The 20569-nt window shown below is 35.4% G+C and overlaps 1 protein-coding gene across 3 annotated transcripts in view; it reads right to left on the bottom strand.

Annotated features, from left to right (window-relative positions):
- The window catches only part of ALCAM (activated leukocyte cell adhesion molecule), a 209992-nt gene that overhangs the window by 17382 nt on the left and 172041 nt on the right, over positions 1-20569 (bottom strand). The window contains exons 7-14 of one of the 3 annotated variants that reach the window (NM_001627.4): positions 19417-19544; positions 17754-17886; positions 14184-14296; positions 12235-12370; positions 11996-12129; positions 9260-9392; positions 7337-7375; positions 6934-7051 (exon numbers count right to left, since the gene is read on the bottom strand). In NM_001627.4, coding sequence (NP_001618.2) covers positions 6934-7051; positions 7337-7375; positions 9260-9392; positions 11996-12129; positions 12235-12370; positions 14184-14296; positions 17754-17886; positions 19417-19544 — 934 coding nt within the window. Of the gene's footprint in view, positions 1-6347; positions 7052-7336; positions 7376-9259; positions 9393-11995; positions 12130-12234; positions 12371-14183; positions 14297-17753; positions 17887-19416; positions 19545-20569 lie in introns of those variants that run through there. The other 2 variants (NM_001243281.2, NM_001243280.2) reach the window with 2 other exon arrangements.

Here is a 20569-nt window from a genome sequence, read left to right as displayed (position 1 = left end):
CTTGCCTCCTGCCATCATGTGAAGTTACAGCAAGAAGGCACCTCTATGAACTAGAAAGTGGGTCCTTACCAGACACTAGATCTGCTGGTGCCTTGATCTTGAAATTCCCAGTCTCCAGAACTGTGGAAAATAAATTTGTTTTGTTTTTTTTTAAAGCCACCCCGTTTATGGTATTTTGTTATAATAGCATATATATTACATATATGTGTATATATATAATATATGTATATATTATATATGTGTATATGTATATATAAATATGTATATATATGTTATACGTACACATGTATACATGTATATATGTAATATATGTATATATTATATAAGTATACATGTATATATAATATATATACATTTATTTTACAATTTATAAAATATAAATTATGATGGTTATTTATTTTAAATTTTCCTCATCGGTGCCTCTTTTTAATAACCTTAAATGAGAGAAAATTTAAATTACAGGATCATAGTAAGTTACCGTGGGAAGAAGTGCTAAAGGTGACCCTCTAGTCTAAGCTGCAAGGCAGAGAGGGGTCTTGGCCTTGGGGTCTGCAAGCCTGGGTTTTTATCCTCATGTATTAATTCTGAGCTCCAAGATCTTAGACAACCCCTCCTCTTAAGCATGCTTGTTCATCTATAAATAGGGGAAACAACAGGATTTCCTCGTAGAGCTGGTGTGAGGATAAATGTGATAGTGTATGTGAAAGCAGCTGGCAGGTTACATGCAGGGACTCACCAAATTGAAGGTGAGTCAGGGAGCTTGATGGCCAAGAGCAGCAGAAGAGAGTTTAAATCTAAGTCTCAACTCCTCATTCTGTGTAATTTCCCTTAAGCGCAGTGCGTTTAAAGGGCTAAAGTTACTTTCAAATAACTTTTCAGAAGATTTAAGACCTTTTTTGGTGAGATTTTCCCAATATTCTACACTTGTTTTGAAATCTCAAAAGGGGTAGGGGACTGCTTTGGGGGTATCCCGTAAGTATGCCTTTAACTGAACAATAGCATAGTGAGAGGATAGAGGAGGCAGGACAAGTGAAGGGGATGACAGTGGTAGGTGCAGCCAGTAAATCACAATCTGGCTGGTATCATTTGGAAAAGTCCAATAAAATACTATAATAGAATTTTATATTTAGAAAACCAAAGCAATACTCACTTAAAATATTTCACACATAAAGGAGTACATGAGATTTTAGGTTTTCCAAGCAGGCTTTCAGTTTGTATAACAAATTGAAAATTCTCTTAGAGCGGGTGTGAGGCATCCTTATTTCTTGCTAGTTAGAGGAGTGTTTTCCGTGAGCATCCCTGCCTCACACCACAGAAGGTACCACAGCTGTTGGTATTTAGGACTGGCATCTTGGCAGTGTAGAGTTACCACTTCCAGCAAACCGGCCATTGATACCTGTGCAGGTAGTTAGGGTCATGCCCAGGAGTATGGTTATTTTTTCCCCTTCTTTGGTCACAGCTCAGTAGAAGGAGTCTCCCCTTGGGCCAAGTTTAATGAAAAACTAGAGGAGGACAGCAGGACACTAATCCCCACTGAGAGTTATGAGCAATTTCTTGATTGAAGAAGGAAATAGAGAAGAATAAATAGTTGGTCTTATTACTACAACTTACAATTTTATAACCTTAGAATTTCTAAGACTCTACAAAGAAATTCCTCATGAAAATTTTATGTCTTTAGAATTTCTAAGACTCTACAAAGAAATAGGGAATGCGTGTGTCCTCAGTGAAAACAGAAAATGGCTTTTCCATCTAGGTCAATAGTGAATACGACAACCATTAGGTAAAAGGCTGAGGGATCAGAAAAAACACAACTGTACTGAATGTGCATGAAAACAGGAAGCCACCTGCATGCACTCAGCATCACAGCTCAAAATGTTTCTTTAGGGTAGATGATGGGACACATACAGCCTGGCTCATGCCAGAGAATGGGACTTTTTTGTTCCTTAGCCTTTGGAAAATATATTTAAAACAAGTGTGATCTTTTTTAAAAAAATGAAACGAATATATAGAGAGGGGATTTTGAAATATGAACACATTATATTTTGATGCAAGCCCTTTCTTCCTTGTGGAAACTTTCAGGTCACATGCAGCAGAAGAGGAGAGGGCCATGGATGGTGCTGCCCTCTGAGTGGCCGGTGACCCTGTGATTGACTAGATGGAGACTCTGGCATTTCCACATTGTTTTATTTCCCATCAAGTCCCCTCTATTATTTATGGTTTGATAAGATAGTGAGGTATTTTCTTTTCTTCCTTCTGGCAGCCTGCTAGGTCATGGGTAGAGAAAAGAGAGAAGTCAACGTTTGAATTAGTCTGACTTCTCATACAAGTGGAGAGAGAGGCTGTGTCAGCCTGCCCTTAAGATCATACCCTTTCCTCCATAGTACCAATTAAATGCCAGTAGCCAATCAAAGTCAGAGCTAAAATTTTAATTCCAAAAAAGGCCTGGTAAGGCAGCAAAATAGATTTGAAAATACTATATGGAATTTGGAACAAGATACTACTTATGATATCTTGAGCAGGTTACTCCCACTGAGACTTAGATACTACAAAATGGGGTTAATTGTATGTACCTCATTAAATTGTTGAGGATTTCAGTAAAAAATAACCAAAAAAAGAGAAAAACGGTAGGTTCTCATGCAGTGATAAATGAGAAAAGTCACTTAAAATGTGCTTTAAGTGGTCCTCCAGCACTATCTTTTCAATTTATTCAGTGAGGAGTCCCTCTTCTGAGAACATATATTTGCTTTTAGCTGAGTATTGACTGGGAAATAGAATTCAGTTAAAATCAACTTTTTTGCAAGATCGTGTTCCATATATTAAGAGACACCAACAGGAAGGATTCTAGAAAGGCTTAATTAACATTGTTAATTTTAACAATGTTAACATAACATTGTTTATTGAGGTTTCAGTGTTGTAGGCAAGTCCTCTTTAGCCCTTCAGCCAATTTAGGATTGTCTCTGTTTTCTTCCAAGAAAGTACTGGAATAATAAAGCATCGTATAAGGCAGAACTAACAAAGGGTATTTCTGACTTTTAGATTTTCGGATTATTTCTATATTACACACTAATTTTCATGAAAATAGTCTTGAGTTCCATAGCTGCAAAAGGTAAATCTCTCAGTAAGTTTCCAAGATTTACACAATGACTATTTTGAGATTACAGATGTTTGGTTAACACTTGCTTCCAGTTTAGTTATAGGAATTATGGAGGTCAGAGTCTCTTAAATACAACCAACCTTGAAATTATGGTCCTAATATACTTGTGAAGAAGTTTGTGGCTACATCACTCTGCCTTTACATTTTTCCTTTAACTTCAGCTCTTTTAATTTTTCATTAGTTCTTGTACTATGAGATATGCAAGATAGGAATGAATCTTAAATAGTAACATTTAACTTCCTGTAGAACTAAAAACCATGTTTGGAGGACAGGGATGAGAGAAATGGAAAACATAGTAGAAGGTAACCACTGAAATATCTCTAGTTCTTCAATGCTTTTCTACCTGTTAAACAACTAGATATAGGGTGGACTAATTAATGCCTTTTCCTGACTCTGATAGTTAATACCCTACATACATGGAAAAAAATCAGAGTCATCTATTCTCGTCATCAAAGCACCTTCAGTTTTTTTTAACAAAAAACTTCCATTGGGAAGTTATATGGATTAAAGCAGCAAAAAAGTCATGAGTCCTTACTCCTAAATGAATATGTCATTTCACAATGGGAAAAGAACACAATTGCCAAGTCTTTCTTGCTCCAGTTTTCCATTTTTGAAAATTATAATAAAAATATTTAGCTTCTATTAGTGGAATAAGGAGTGAATGCTGGCTAAATAGCCACTAGGTATATTAGCAAATGTACTCTTAAATTTTACTAGAAATAAAAGATTGTTTCTCTTATCTTTCTCCAATGACTTTTAAAATTATCAATGCAAAGAACTTAGCTAAATGTTGCTAAAATTTCACTGCTTTGCTAGCTGTATCACAAAAATGGCGTTAGACATTCTTAACTTGAAAGATCTTATTATGAATCTGAACTTACTCTGCATGAGCAGCTTGAAGGGTTAAGAAGACTAATTCATATTCCAAAAATGCCTGCTTATTTCAGAAGGCACAAGCAAGGAATAACTAACCAGGAATGCAAAGCACTCAGCAAATCTGAAGTATTCCACAAATTCTTAATAAAAAGCCTTGATGCTTCAGATGAGAATTGCAATTTATTACTTTGATTACCAATAATATCAACTCTGTCAGAGTTGGTGAACTTTTCGATTAGGTAACAGTTATTTAGATGAATGTTCAGATCAGGTGGTAGAAGTTGAGCTTAATTTAATGAAATATTTTAAAGGAAATGCTTGAGGCTCTCACCTAAAGACACCATGAAGTCAGTGTCCAGCATATATTTATCCATCATTTTAATTTGGGGTTACCACATGAAGAAACAAAGGAAAGAACACATACACACACACAAATTTATTTTATTCATAGAGGGACAAATGGTGTCTGATGAGATACTGGATGTTGGGGGTGCTCCAAGAATTTAACATTTATTTGACCCTAATGTAAAGAATTATAGTTTTTTTTTCCAGCTAATTTTCAAGGTACAGGGAAATTTTATTTTCATTGTTTTAAGAAGTAAAATTACTGTGGAGTATTCAGAAGTCATAATAAAATGAAAATACCCTAGAACGCAAGCTGTTGGATTTGTGAGTAAATTATCATGGATTATAAAGGGAGGATAAGATTTGATATCAGGAAACCTGTACACACAGAAGGAGAACTTCTATAAAATGGATGTTGCCTCTGGGCAACTGTTTGCTTTTCCTTTCACTTACATAGCACAGGTCTTCCGAATTTTCTATAGATGCCATGGACACAAACCCATGTGAAGTGTTTATAGGTAAAATGTTCATTGAGAAAAAGAACATATTGGTTACCAAGTTGTGGTGGTTAATTTTATGTGTCAACTTGACTGGGTCATGTGGTACACAGACATTTGGTCAAACATTATTCTGGCTGTGTCTGTGAGGGTATCTCTGGGTGAGATTAATATTTGAACCGAATCAGTAGGCTAAGTAAAGCAGATTGCCCTCCTCTATGTGGGTGGGCCTCATTTAATCAGTGAAGATATGAATGGAACAAAAAAGGCTTAGTAAGAGGGAACTTCTTACTTGACCACTTGAACTGGGACATTTTTTCTTGCTTCCAGTCTGGGACTGAAACATTAGTTCTTCCTGGGTTTTAGCCCATGTGGGTTTCAGACTGGAACTTACACCTTCCTGGTTCTCAGGCTTTTGGACATAGCCTGGAACTACACATTAACTCTACTGTGTCTCCAGCTTCCTGCCTGCAGATTTTGGTACTTCTCAGCCTCCGTAATCATGTCAGTCAATTTCTTATAATAAAACTTTCTTTGTACACACACACACACACCCTCTACTGGTTTGATTCTCTGGAGAATCCTGACTCGTATACCAAGTATTGGTGTGGGCTGCTTAAGACTAAGGAGAGAAAGGCCAAGATGAGGAGCAGTTGTGCCATCATGTGAGAGTGGACATCGTGTGCATCAGTGACAACACACAACAGGAGAAATGTTTCTGCCTAATGTGGCACAAAATAAAGCAAGTGAGAGAAAGTATGGTCTACTCCTTCAACACAAAGATTCTAAAACATCACTGCCTTAAATCAAATAACAATTCTGTGCCCTACAAACTATGTAACCTTAGGCAAGTCATTTAACCATTCTCTGCCTCAGATTTTTAAAATGTAAAATATGAATAATAATGGTGTGTACTTTATAGATGTGTTGTGAGAACATGAGCTCAATACATGCTCATGCTGCTATGTGACTTCAAAATTTCAGAGCTTCTGCCTCCCTTGGATGGCAGCTCCATTTGAATATTGCTTCATTGGAACTGGCATCTTTACAAGGTGAGATCATGGGTCCTGATTTAAATCTGATTTTTCTTTTGATTCTCTTTTAAGTCAACTTTCTTACATTTTTTAAAGGGGACATATCAGACATAATATAAAATTAAGTCCAAAGTTCCACTAGCTATAGACATCCCATTGCAAAACTTAATTTACACATTTATAAGATAAGGTGGTTTAAAACCCATGTTTGAAACTAGCAGCATGCCGCAGAATCACCAGTGAAACTTTTTAAAAGTGCAGATGCTGGAACCCCACCCCTATCAATGGTATCTGAATCTAGGGTTGGGAGTGAGATGATGAGAAGTATAAGACATGTGTGTATGTTAAGAATCTTCGCTGGTTCATCGGATTTTCCTTATAAACCACTGTTAGATAATTTGTAAGGTTCATACTATCTGTAATATCATATAACTAATAATGTTTAACATCTCTAAAGCATTTTTAATGTAGTGTTGGTACTTTAATCCATTTTTAAAAACTCAAGTTGACATAATGACATGATTTTCTCTGATATAGACTCTTATATGGATCAAAGTCAACTAACTAGAATATGGGAGTAATAACAATAAGATATTCCTACCTCAGCAGCAGTTTCATTGCTGGCCAGATGTGTCACTGCAAAGACACCTGGCAGTCCCTACAAGATGTACTAGGTACTTTTAATGAATCTTCTCCAACTTCAACCAAAAAGTCTATGGTTGTTGACCTTTAGGAAGTATACGCTTTAAAAAATTCACTCAAGCACTGAAAAAATCAAATAATTGAATTCAGGCTATTGATTGAGACAAATAAACGGACACATGTGAAACAGTATCCCAAGCCATGTCCCTGACAAAGGCAGTGTAGTCAAAATTAGTTGAAACAAAATATATAATCAACCTGATTTGGGGATACATCTTCCTTATTGTATAAATTATATGCACGACTGGAGTGAGCAAAATTAGCACATTGTATTTTCTCCCAGTGAAAGTCAATGAACGATGAAGATCTTTTTTCCACAACTCACTTTGACTTCTTCATGTACAGCCAGTAGACGACACCAGCAACAAGGGCAGCAAGGAGGAGACCAACAACGATTCCCACAATTAGTTTTGCCTGGTCATTCACCTTTTCTCTGTTTTCATCTGCAACAAAGAAGAAAAGTCCATGCAATTACAGACAATGCCAAGGATTTTCAGAAAGTCAATCTAGCTATTACTTTGTATTAAAAATGACTAAAGCTCACTACAGTAATTAACATGCAAACTTGTGATTTTTAAAGGGTAAAATTTTAGCATTCTTACTATCTTGTCTTTGGTATTTTAATTCAAGTCAAAATTGTGGACAGCTAAGAAAATTACTTATACCATGACACTTCATAAATCTTGAGCTGATAGTCAAGGAAGAAGAGTCGGCAGCATAGTACCTACCACTTATCTCGTCTGCCTCATCGTGTTCTGGAATACTTACTGAAATGAAAAATGTTAATATGAAATTAAAAACAAAATTTGTTGATATATGAAAGTCACCTTTACCATTATAGTATGATGTAATAATACTCAAAGATAAAATGTCTATTCTATAGCTAACAGTAAAAAAAAAAAAATCACACTTAATAAAGTATGACCTTGCCTACAAAGAAATTAATCTTGTTTTAAGGAGAGGAGCTACAACTGCAAAGATATTAATCTACCATAGAAAATTTCATAACTGATGACCTATAGAATTAATCTGAAATCCATATTGATTTTCCCACTATCCACCACCTTTTAATAGTCATTCTTTTTTTAGGGAAGCAAGTCGGCACCTAGGAAGTCTACAGTGTGATGTTTATCAACTTTTCTCAACTTTCCTGCCCGATATAGGAGAATTCATTGTCATCCTCCAGTGTCAAGGACTTACCACTAGAGATGTTCTCAAAGTAGTAGGAGTAGAGGTTAAAACTGGGGATACCTCCGAGATTAAGAAGCAACATACATGATGTTTGCAAAGCTCTCCAAATGACTCTGATAATGCCATGCTCTTTGTCCATTTTAAGAATTACCACTGTGTTGAATTATTATCTAATATTAAACTCTATAAATAAACTTCAAAGTGCATGGGCATGCATCGGAACTGCCAGTGACATTTGATAAAATGCAGATTCCCGGACCTCTCCTCATACATGCTAAATTGGCATCTCAGGAGGTGCTCACTGAATTTGAAAACGACTATATTAAATGTTGATAAAGTCACTGCAAGGCCTAGAAAACTGAAGCATACCATTCAATGGGTTAACATAAAAAGAGAAACTTGTGTTCAGGAAGAAAGGGTAGGTTCTCTTCCTAGGTGGGACAAATCAATACTCACTGAATTGCATTCTGAGAAGTCAATGCTTCTATCTTAGAGTTAAATTTGTTTGGTTCTTTTATCCTGTCAATCCATTAGGCCTTTATATTCCAGTCATAATCTGTGAGGGACCATTATTTTTTGATGATTATTTTCTCCTAGCTCTTGCTAATTCCCAGCTAGTGTAGTCCTAGCCTGCTAATGTCATATACAGGTTTCCAACTGAATGAAGAATAAAAGTTTGGCAGGTCAGTTAGCATCCTGTCCAGAACTGAGCCTCATTCTAGGCCAGTCCTGATTTAAGGTTGACAAAACAATAGGAACAACTATAGAATTGAAGATTATGGACAATTTCACATTAAATGACAATTGTTTTCTGAAGAAGCTGTTGTTGGTATGTATGTATTACCCTGATTTCAACATCGACAGATTTTTCCACATTCTCTGAGATAGTTTCACTTATCTGATTTTCGGCTATAGTTTAAATATGATATGACAAAAGGAACAGTTTTGTAAACTAGATTCATGAATTCTAAAATCACTCTTGCTAGTTTACTAAATGACTTTAAGCTTGTGGCATTCTAGTACAACATAAGGGTAGGATAAATACCACAAAGAATTAGAAGGCAAAATAATAGATCAAAGGGAATTACAAATTTACCAAATTTAAAACTGTTACAAAAATGTTTTAAGATGATCTTTGAATTATCTCCACTCTGAACATAAAACATGAATTAAATAAGAGAAACTTATTTTTTATTCTCTGTTGCTTTTGGGAACTATTCCTGTACAGGATAAGGCCTCTGACCCATAAAACATGAAATGATTTAACTGTCAAGACAAGGATAGTACAAGAATGGACAGGAAAAAAGAAAAAATAACCTTATGATGATGATACCAAATGCAAAATAAATAAATAAAACTTACCATAATGCAGTACAGGAAGATGGAATTGAAGATTTTAAACTAATGAAGAATAACTTCAAATTTTCTTACTTTTGTAATGCCAGAAATAAAATACTCACTAGCAGAGACATTCAAGGAGTTTACTGTTCTCTCCAGTTGGTTTTCTGCTGTGCAAGTTAATGTAACATTCTCTTCAGGGGAAATGATAATTTTACTATAATACCTGCCATTAATATAAGGAGATTCCTCTGTCTGGAAAAAGAAGAAAAAAGGTGGGTTTAGAAATCAAAATGGATTAAAAAGCATAGGAAAGAGTAATGATGACTGTAATAGGATAGGCGTGGTGCTCTATAGAGCATTCTGGTGTTCAAAAGCTATGTAAGATCATAGATCAAGACCCATGTATGCCAATATCTACAAAGATTAGTAAATCCATAATGAAATTTCTGTTTATGTTTCTTTTGTGAATTCTAATAATTAAGTTAATTAAACTCTTCTTTTTAAATAGAATCTCAGGTTTAGTCAACATTTTGGCCTGATGATACTTGTTTCAAAATAATTAATTGGTGACTATTTAAACACCAACTTTCCACCAATAAATATATGAATTTAATTATTTATAAATTTAGTCACTGTTCTTCACTGTGGGAATTAATTCCTTTATCTTAAACCATTATATCAAAGTATGTATGTATGTATAATTTGCTCATGGGTACATGAAACCATTTTTTTCTAAAGTTTTCTGTTGTAAATACAGAGGATGGATGATTTTTCAGTGATTGCTGTCCCTCTGATGTTTGTGAGGTGTTAATGAGGGTAATCACTGCATTTAATTCCTTCAAATATAAAATACAATTTACTTTAATCTCATCCCTAGGATTTGACTCCTAAACCCAACAAGGTTGAGGCAAATAATGTACTTGCACTCTTTTCTCGGTCATCTTATGAACTCATTCCCTACATTTTTCTCTTTCTATATTGTTTGCTTTCTCCTCAACTACATGGTAAGTGCCTTGAGGACAAGAGCTATTCTCCTGTTTTGGTTATCTTCTAGTTGCTGGGGTGGAGGAGGGGCAGAGACATCTTCTAGTTGTAAAATAACAGATTCACCATGTATCTGAGAAGGGAACAAATAAAATTGTGATTATGGATGCATCAGCACAAATCCCAGAACAAGAAAAATAACATATCACCCAGTGGGCCAGAATCAATCTTTCTCCTTGACAATGAAAGATGGCATTATTATTTTTATCCTCACAGTAAATTTACCTGCTATTTTTTCACTTCGTACTAGGATTTTTCATCTGACTTTCTCACGGAATCTTTGTTTTTGTTACTTTAAACTCTACAAAATATATTTTCTCATTTCTAGGATGGTCTTTTAAATCTTCATATCTTTTCATTAATCAAAAACTTACTGTCTGCTTATGTTTCTGTTTTCTATGTCTGTATTACCAGTACCTAAAGGTTCTTTTTTGCTGCAGTTATCACTTAATTGAACTAGAGAGCAAAAACAATAGAGTAGAAAAGAAACCACCATTTTTGATGCTAAAAATAGATCTGCACATTGTCAGCAATTTAGATGGTTCAAGTCTTTATTCCAAATCAAGAAAACTGCATTTTCCTAGGTTTGAGGAGCCCAGAGCTTCTTTGCCTCCTCTTATATGCTTTCTTACTGTGTGTCCCCATCACACTTAACCAAATCAGGAGTCATTCACTTCACGTGTGCCTACTCTTTTGAGGGCTTTCCATATCTAGAGTTATGCAGCTATATATGCATCACCTATAGTTGAAAGAGCCAAAATCCACTTTGCACTGCAAAACTGCATGGCGTAAGCTGGGACAGTGGCCCAACTTCCCTAGAAAGAGGAAGAGTGGAGATTTTAACTTAAAATTAATTTACAGCTCTTTGCTTTATATATGTCTTCTCAAATTTCAACTGGGTCAAAATCTGAGAAGTACAGAAGATTTAAATAATCCAGTGGTACCTCTGGGTGCTCCTGAGAAGCCTTTACAGATTATACTGAGAAGAGGGAGACACGAAGACTGTTGTAGAGAACAATGGAATTAGCAAGTATGTCAGCAACCCAAGCAGATTGGCAAATTACTGGGATTACAGTTCTGAATCCCTAGTGGTAGGCCAGATTCTCATTTTTCCTTTAAGGGGAGGGTCAAAGACTTAATAGTAAAAGAAAATAACAGGTAGTGTTAACAAATCCTTAACCCTTTACTATTACTAAAATAAAAAGGTACAAATATTAAGGTCTGGTTTATGACCCTTTTGTTCAGAAGGGCACATCCTAGGCACTATATATGTAGCTTGCCTTATTCTGGCCCTAGCACTGCATAGGCATGTCAGACCACACATTCATAAGCAGTAACTGTGTTCTTCTCCACCATTCCTACACGAGGACATAGTTTTAAGAAGTAACACCCCTTAATGTGCATAAGTTGAGCACAGTATTAGAGTTCACTTATACTGAGATGCATGAGCTTATTTTGCAGGAAAGTGTATATCTTAATGTTTTAATCACTCACATTTTAGGAATGAATGATCATGAAGTAATACCTAATTTATATTCTTTTAAAAACAGATACTGACCATGACACAATGGTTCTTCCCTTCTCCATGGCCCTGGGATAAAATTTCTCTTTGAGCCATGTTCTTCCTCTAGGAAAATTAAGAAGTTAGCAAAAGCTTCCTCTGAGCATGTACTGCAAATTCTATGTGGTAACAAACCAACCTACACACTGCAAATTTTATGTGGTAACAAACCAACCTATAGGGTAGGTTCGTGAAGGAAAAAAAACGCATTGGACGAAGTGCAGCATATAACAAGAAGACAAATACTTGCTTGGTTTATGACGCTTCCACTGCCAGTAATTGTCCATTGAATGGCTGGCTTTGGAAAACCTTCCACATGGCAGATTATTGTTTTAGATAGTCCACTGGGATCAGTTTTCTTTGTCATTTTTATTTGAGGTTTGCCTGAAATATTACAATTAAAATAAGATGTTGAACTGAGATCATAAAAGAAACCAGGTAAAAAATTCTCAAAGAACAATTTGAATTAGTGCCCAAGTATTTTATTACCTTCTACAATGAGAGTCAATGACTCTCTTTTCTTTAGTCCTTCAACCTCCTGCAGAGCAGTTTCGCAGACATAGTTTCCAGCATCCTGATAATGAAGACTAGAAAATGACGGGCTAGATCGAAGCCTGATGTTATCCTGATTAAATAAAAAGTAAATTACCTCATGTGGCAGAATTAAAATTCTCAGTGTATTTATTAGATAATAATTAAGCCTAAAACAATTCTTCTGGGAATAATATAAATGCAAACTTCTTTTTCTTAACTTCAGATGCTTTCAAAATAGATTTCCTTTTTCTTTTGTTGTTTTAGAGTCAGACATGTCAGATTTTTATTTCACGCTCTTTCATTTACTGAATTTATAATTTGGAAAGCGTTCTATTCCAATTTCTATGAACAAAGGAAATGTATCATTTAATTTTAAAAAATAGCCTGATATACAGAAAATAATCCTATTATGTCAGGAATTGAAATGCTCCTAAGCAGGCAACTAGACACAATCCTAAGATTATGTGGTCTTTGTCCATTAGGATATTTTTTCCCACTCCCCATTAACTAACCAATAATCAGGGAATACTGATCATCACTATTTTGAATACATGAGCTGTTCATGACAGTTAATTCATAACAGTGATTGCAGTTGATTGTACAAACAGTTTAAACCACAGTAAACTTAGTTTCTCTAGTCCTATAGTAAAACATGCAATGAGTGTTCAAATGATTATGAATTAGTCTAGTTGCCTAGAACTTGTCTAGCCTTGTGATCACTGATTACTACAAACATATCATGCTAGATTGCAGCATAGGAAGTGGCACTTTATTTTAGTGAACAAGTTGTGATGAGGCTGTGGCTGAAAGAGAGTACAATAAGAAACTGAGCTCACAGAGTAAGACAACAAGTAGCAGAGGATCGAGTGTTAAAAAGGATCAAAAGGCAGGCAGTAAAGCAATACAAAATAATTTCATCAATATATTTCCATCAAAAAGAAACTCTAGAAAAATATTTCTCCACAGTTTCTTATAAAGGTAATTCTTGTCAACTCCTATTTCAAATGGTATGTGTTGTTTTCTGAACCCATCATGGGTTAAGGGTTCTTGTCACATGTCATGCTCTGGTAACAAATGCACTGGGAGTTTGGATATACTAGCCAAGGGTTTAAGTGGAGGGATCGCAATCACAACCTTTTCCTTTGGTGATAACCTTGTCTCAAATCACCAATTATCAGTCACACTTCCTTACTCTAAAAGGATAGCCAATGGCCTACATTTCAGACAATTACAAGAGTATAAGCACTTGTTCAGGGAATACTGAATTAACTCCTACTATGTTCCAGGTATTCTACTATAGCTCAGGGATAAAAGGGATTGCTTTCTAGGAGCCCTTGATCCAGTGGAACCTGTTTTCAGAAACTTAAGAGTGGTCTCAGCAGCAGAGAGACAAAAGGTGTCTTATCAAAGCATAGTATTCATACTCAGTAAGGTCTGGCCTTGAGTCTCTACTCTGTCAGTTATGAGCTTTCTGATTTATTTCCCTTCAATTTCTTTATATGAAGAATGTGGGGAAAATAATAATCTTTGTATTTCACAGGGTTGTTGTAAATATCACGTAAGGATAATGTGGGCAAAAACACACTGTAAATTATTAAGCCCTGTGGTATATAACTATGTTTGTATGTGCACACATGCGTGTGGTGTGTGTATAATTAGTATATACACATAATTGACATAACACCCCAAACTAAGTTTCAGAATACCAATTATGGATGTCACCGTGTTGAGCACCTCTAAAATTTTATTGTTATTTTATTTCTCTTATCAGAAACAGAGAGAGAGAGAGAGCTGGTATATAAACACATCCATGAATATACCTACTTGAATACAATATAAAGTGCATAAGAAACCTAAAAAGAAATCAAACCAAACAGCAGGGTAGTACCAAAAATATTACTTACTTTCATCCATACCACAGTTGCATTCCTGCTAGCAGATATTGTGCATGACACGGGTAGGGCATCACCAATCTGTCTAGTCACTTCTCCACTTGGGTTTAAGGACAAATCCAAATCTGTGAAGCAGAAAATCTGTTCAAAGTGCTAACTCTGAAATGTAAGATAGTCAAAATATTTTGGAGAAGAAAAGATGAAAGAAAATAAATTTCTTCTAACTGCATTTGAACATTCAGAACTGATTTATATGACTAAAATAATTGGACTATAGCATGATTAGCCTAGTTTTTCAAGCCAGCCTTGAGACTAGTTTAGACAAGAGAGTGGTCAATCTAATTGATTATCCATTTATTTGCAGTTAACGTGATTGATATTTTGAGGGGATATAAATATTCCCCTAGGGCCTATCACCTTAAGAAAAAAAAATCTTAAGTCACTTCTGGAAGAAAATAAAGATGATGACTAGGTAAATATTATATAAAGAGACAGTAAGGCATAAATGTTGGAAAATCAAGCATCTTTAGACAGCAGGTGATAAATTGAAAAACCATGAGATAGTAGTTGTGTTTCTTCAGAGAGAATTTACTATAGCAGCAGATATTTTTAAAAAGTGCTATTCCATTTCTCATCCAGTTGATGGAAAACAATCTTTATAAAAATCTTACTGTCATAGTCTGATCTGTATGAGAAAATTCCAACTCAACTGAACAAGTATTTATTGTACAGCTACTAAGTCCCAAGCACTGATGAGAGATGCAGAGATAAATAATGACCTTATAAGTCAATGAGGTAGAGGTACTATGCTGACTATAACACACAGCCCATAAAATCAGCACCTAGTAGCAAACCTGACACTGATTTGGAGTTCACTAAATATTTGTTGAAAGATGAAAGGCAGGCTAGAAACAGAGGTACAAATGAAGACTTAATGGAAGTATAGAGAACAGAGCCAAACTGGGTTTCAAAGCAGTAATAAAGGCTTTGTAAAGGGAACACTATATGTTCGTGGCCTCTGATGGTTGAGAAGGACTTTGATAGGGGAAGATGTAAGGAAAACTTTGGTCACATAAGCAAAGGCGAAGAGATGAGAAAGCTTGGCAGATTTTGTAATGGTGAGTAATTGGGTATAAGTGGTGACAACTCATGGAAGTTAAACTCATACAATTCATTGAGACCAGACTGAAGAGGACCATGCTTGCCACACTAGGAGTTGTGTCTTTGTTCTACAGTATGAAGACTTGCCATTACACTCCAAGTTTCTCCTTGGTTTAAAATGTCATAATTGCAACTTGTTGACTGCAACATCATTTTTAAAGTTTGTCTCTCCTATCAGACTGAAAGCACCATGAGGGTAGTGATTGTGACTTGGTTTGTCACTGATATATCCACAGTGGCTGAGACATGGTAGACTCTCAAACATTACTATTGAATGAATGAAGGGAAGGAGCATGCTTTCTCAATTTCTCATTAATATGAAACCATGTACCAACATGTAGAAAAGTGGAGTTTCCTTGGAACATTTGGGTGAATTGTATTTAGATGAAAATTTTATTCTGGATGAGTTAGAAGTTTTTGTTAGCTGGATAGCTAATTTTCCAGAGAGGAGATAAACAATTTTACAGGACAATGATGGACTTTGAAAGCTCTGATGAAGACTCTATGTGTGCATATATTGGCAGGGAAACAGTGACTTTCATCAGCAACTAGGAATTTGTAGGCTGTGAGACTTGATGAGCAGTCTATTCTGCAAACATGTGCAAGAATGGGTTGGCGCTTCTCTACCCACACTTCCTTTAGACATGTTTGAAAAGGAAACAAATCTTGTTTTTGGAAAATAAGCAAGCAATCAAAGATAAGTGGGTAAAAATAGGATTTTTATGTTTCCATATAATTTAGAATCAGATGTTGATTTACTTGAAATACTTTTTTTCAGCTTTTGAGGAGGAACAGAGTCAGCAACAGAGTTAAAACCCAGTGTTAGAGTCTACCTGTCAAAACCAAGATGCATTTAAATCTAATTAAATGCACTAAAATCCAGTTAAACTTTTACACACTTTTGTTTAATTTTCCCCCATCACAGCCAAACACGTAGGCACTATATGGCTGCAACCAAGTCTTTTGCTTTGTCAGTCTGCCATCTATCCTCCCCTGCCTTATCTACAAGTAAAGTAAATAAGAGCCCTTTTCTTTTAGAGACCTGTGTACCTTGCATCTCTTAAAAATAAGCACATCACACCATCTCTAAGGCACTAGATTATTGATTATTGGCCCAAAGACATCATGAGCAATGATAATAGAGAGCTAGCTATTCCACATATGGTTCTATCTGCTGGCTATATTCTCTTTCTTCATTATTTTATTTTCATGGAACAGGACTGGATAATATTGTTATACTGGAAGCTACTGCTTTCTCTGTAACTAGCCCCTGATGGGAGACACATTCAAACCCAAGCAACATAAGCAAGGAGTAAATGGAGAAATGGCCCAGCTGTGAACATAACAGTCCACTATTTTTACAGGGCTCTCAAGGGAGCACTCCCAACATCAGACAATCAGAAGCAACCATCTGGTTGCTTTATTCCCCAATGTACCTCCCTGTATCTCTCTCAAAAATTTAGCTCATATCCCACATGTTTTTAAAGTATTATGAGTCAAATGAAAGAGTTAGAACTATGTACTCAAGACAATTTCTAAAGTCTCTTTATACTCAGTGGGATTGTAGTGGATGATGTCTAGAGGAAACCTTATTAATGGTACTGTTGAGTGCAAAGGACTTATTAGGAAGTTTGTACTATACCTCTAAGCAAGACTGACATTTGCTTAAAGCACTCTGAATTCTAGTGTCACCAGGGTGTGGTATGAATTAGTTTACTGTTTCCATGATTCATCAGGTACATCAATAATATGGACTGTCATGAAGAACTCAAGTTAAATGTCTGGTATTTACATGTGTCTTTTTCTGTTACACCGAGGCAAATATAATTTTTGGAGTATTTGGAGATCAAAAGCAAATTAAAAGTTAAAAAGTTATGTCCACAGTGATTTTCAAGAGGTTCTGTTTCCAGAAATTTCCTACCCCTCTATATAGAGTACATTCAGCCAATAAATAACTTCTAATGATCTCTACTTCCTGTTCCCAAAACTGAGTCTGTAGTAACTTTGTATTGTCTGAGTTTGGGTGTTAAATTTATTCTGTAACACAAATGATAATGCTGGGTCAACTGCAAAGCTGGTGCACTTCAAGAACATGGAAATGTTTTCTTAAAATATACAGAGTTGTTTCTTTAAGGTCTATATGAATATTGTTCATTGACACCACAAATTGAAGACACTTAGAAAGAAGATGGAGATGTACCACTGCCAAAAGTTGCGGTTATCAGAGCCATGCAAGGTTTCAATATTGCAGTACAAATCTGGACAAAGTTGAGCTTATCCCGATGCTTTCTCTCTCTACTGCATCTATTGCAACCAAGTTATTTAAGAAAGATATACGTGCAGTTTATTTGAAAAGATAGCTACATTAAGCTATTAGAAGCCTTTGAGGTGAAGCTGCTGATGAAGAAGTAGGTGACTTACAGTGAACTGTGATAGCTGTTGAAGCAATCATGCTTTTTTTGTCTATCAGGGAACACTTGTAGTCTCCTGTTGCATTGCGCCTCACATCCGTCAGTGTGTAAGTATTTGAGCTTCTTATTCCTTCGGGCTGTCCCTTTTGATAGAGGCAAAATGTCAGATGATTATACTTGGTCGCTACAATGAGAACAGTTGTATTTCTTGATGAAGATAGCATTTTATCAAGTAAGATAAAAAAGGGAATGTGTTTCATTGATCACACAAAAAGAGTACAGTTTGTGTTACCAATATCTGATTCCTGGGCAAATAATTAATATTTTGGACCTAAGGAATTTGAGAGCTGATTTATTTTCTATTGATGACTTTTATTTTATTGACAGCATGGCTTTTGCTCAAGTTTCAAGGGCATTTTTAAAAAGTCCAATGTTTTATTTTTATATTTATGCCTTATGTAATTTGACAAAAATATTTGAGGCAGCTTAAAAGGAAATACACTATATATCCAGATTAAAAGAAAAAACATAAAAGGAAGGAAAGAAGGAAGGAAGGAAAGTAAAAAGGAAGAAAGGATGAAATGAGAAGAATGAGAAAGAAAGAAAGGGGAAAGGAAGAGAGAGAGGAGAAGAAAAAAAGAAAATGACAAAAGAAAAAAAGAAATTAAGAAATTAAGACTAGGAAAAATATAGATGATGTAGGAATAATATAAGTTAACAAAGAAAGATATTCAGCAGGTATTATTGCTAAAACTGAGACACAAATTTGGCTCTGTCATCCCCGATAGCCAAAGCAGAAACCTAATTAGTTTTAAATTTTCCTTCGCAAAGGAAACAAAAACAGCAATTAATTCATTGGGAGAAACAAAGTTTTCTGTCAGCATAAAGAAATTACTTATACTAGTCTTCTGAATAATGTAGTGAATGACATTCTTAAATACTATTGAGTACTGTGGTAGATGAAATTTGTAAGCACAACCCTGCAGTAAATGCAGTATTGAGTTGCATTATGGCTTCCCTCAATGTGAAAGTGATGTCAAACACAAAGATATGCGAGAGCAAACAGGCATCCTCAGAGCGAGCTCTCTCCTTGTCTGCTTCCAGATCCTTATGACATGCAGAGCACATCCGAGAGGAATTTTCCAAAGTATCCTCTATGCATATCATTTCCTTCAGCTATGATATGGAGAAAAGTTGAGGAAATGGCATTTCAAGATTATACATAATGACCAAAAAAGAGCCATAGCATTATCCTAAATATAACGTGCAACAGAACTATCCCTACTTCTGAGGGTTAGAGGTGTGTTCGGGGCAATGTTGTGGGCAGATTTAGAATCCACATCAGTTCATTCACTGTCATCAGTTTTCATTTTGTAGTTATCTGCTTCTGAGGAGCAGATTCTTAAAGTTTATTTGGATAATTAAACTTTAAGTTTTTGCAATTATGGTTTCCTGTGGTTGGCTTTTTTTTTCTCTTTGTCCTTGAAATCTCTCAGCATTGAGAAAAAAGGCAAGAACAGTGGCAGGTGCAGAAAAAGCTTCCACGTGACATTTTATAGGTGGCGTCTCTTGTCTCCAGCAATAACATTTTTTCTCACTTAATCTATCCATGTAGAAGTCAAACAACAGGAAAAATGATAGTCATCCAACTGAAGTAATACTTAAGCACTTACTGGTAAGTAAAACAAAAATTCCTCTGGGGGAGGGTTGCCATTCCCTAAGCATTTAAGAGTGATGTTATCCCCTTCTTTGATGGCATTTTTTGGTGGCAGCACTTGTATTGTCACCTGCTCTGTAGGATCTGTAAGAGTTACAGACACAAGTTAACCATTTTTGTCAAGTACCGAATTACTCTGTGCATACAATGTAAATGACTAAATTATACATAATTTTCTCAAGAAGCTAGTAATGGTAATTGCTTAAATATACCTTTTTATAGAAGGATTGAAGCTAATAGCTACTTGCTATACAAGTACTAATCTTAGGGCCAACTACAAAGAAACCCTGTTACATAAAAATCAATTTCTTCTTAGCAAAATGTCTTTAACTGAGGTAGGAATGGTGGTAATTATTTTATGTATAAAAGACCATAGGAACAATCAAACTGCATGGCTTTATGATAGGGAAATTTAATTATATATTATATGAATCTTATAGTTTGGAAGGACAAAAATCAGCTAGCAAATAGCTAAAGCTATTAGATGCCACTGTACTCATATTGCATGATAATACTTCATATGAAATAAAAAGAGGAGACATGAGCTAAACAACACCAGCGAGGATTTCGGCATGCAGGAGAGAAGATCTGCTTAAAAAAAGATGAATCCTATGAACTGAGGGAGAACCTTGACACAATCAACAGGACTGTAAGTGTATTGTAATTTTGTCCTGTTCATTGGAGCCAAGATGCAACTTTCATTCCATTTTGGTCAATTTATGGAGAAAATAGGGCTAAAGGGTATGCTTCAGCACTCAATAGTAGAATGCTAATGAAATTAAATGCTGGATACAGTGAACCATATCTAGCAAACAGGAAATAAAATGAAGTGGTGCTGGCAGTTAGAAATGATCCACTAACCTATCCATTTGTTATGTTGCTGGATAATACAATGAATAATAAATTTTGAAATCATATAATGCAAAGGTATGTTTTATAGAATGTTTTCCACAAGACTTAATAATTATTGAGGCATGTGTATATATTTCCAAACTGGTGGCACTAAAAATTATCTATGAAAACCTATTTTTTTTATTAGCTAACAAGTGAAATGAGTAAGTTATACTTTTGGAGGCTTTGTTCTATCTCTTGCGGTCATTTATTTACCT

The sequence above is a fragment of the Homo sapiens genome, chromosome 3 (assembly GCF_000001405.40).
Source record: "Homo sapiens chromosome 3, GRCh38.p14 Primary Assembly".
Taxonomy (NCBI): Eukaryota; Metazoa; Chordata; class Mammalia; order Primates; family Hominidae; genus Homo; species Homo sapiens.
This window is presented reverse-complemented; position numbering and strand designations above follow the sequence as displayed.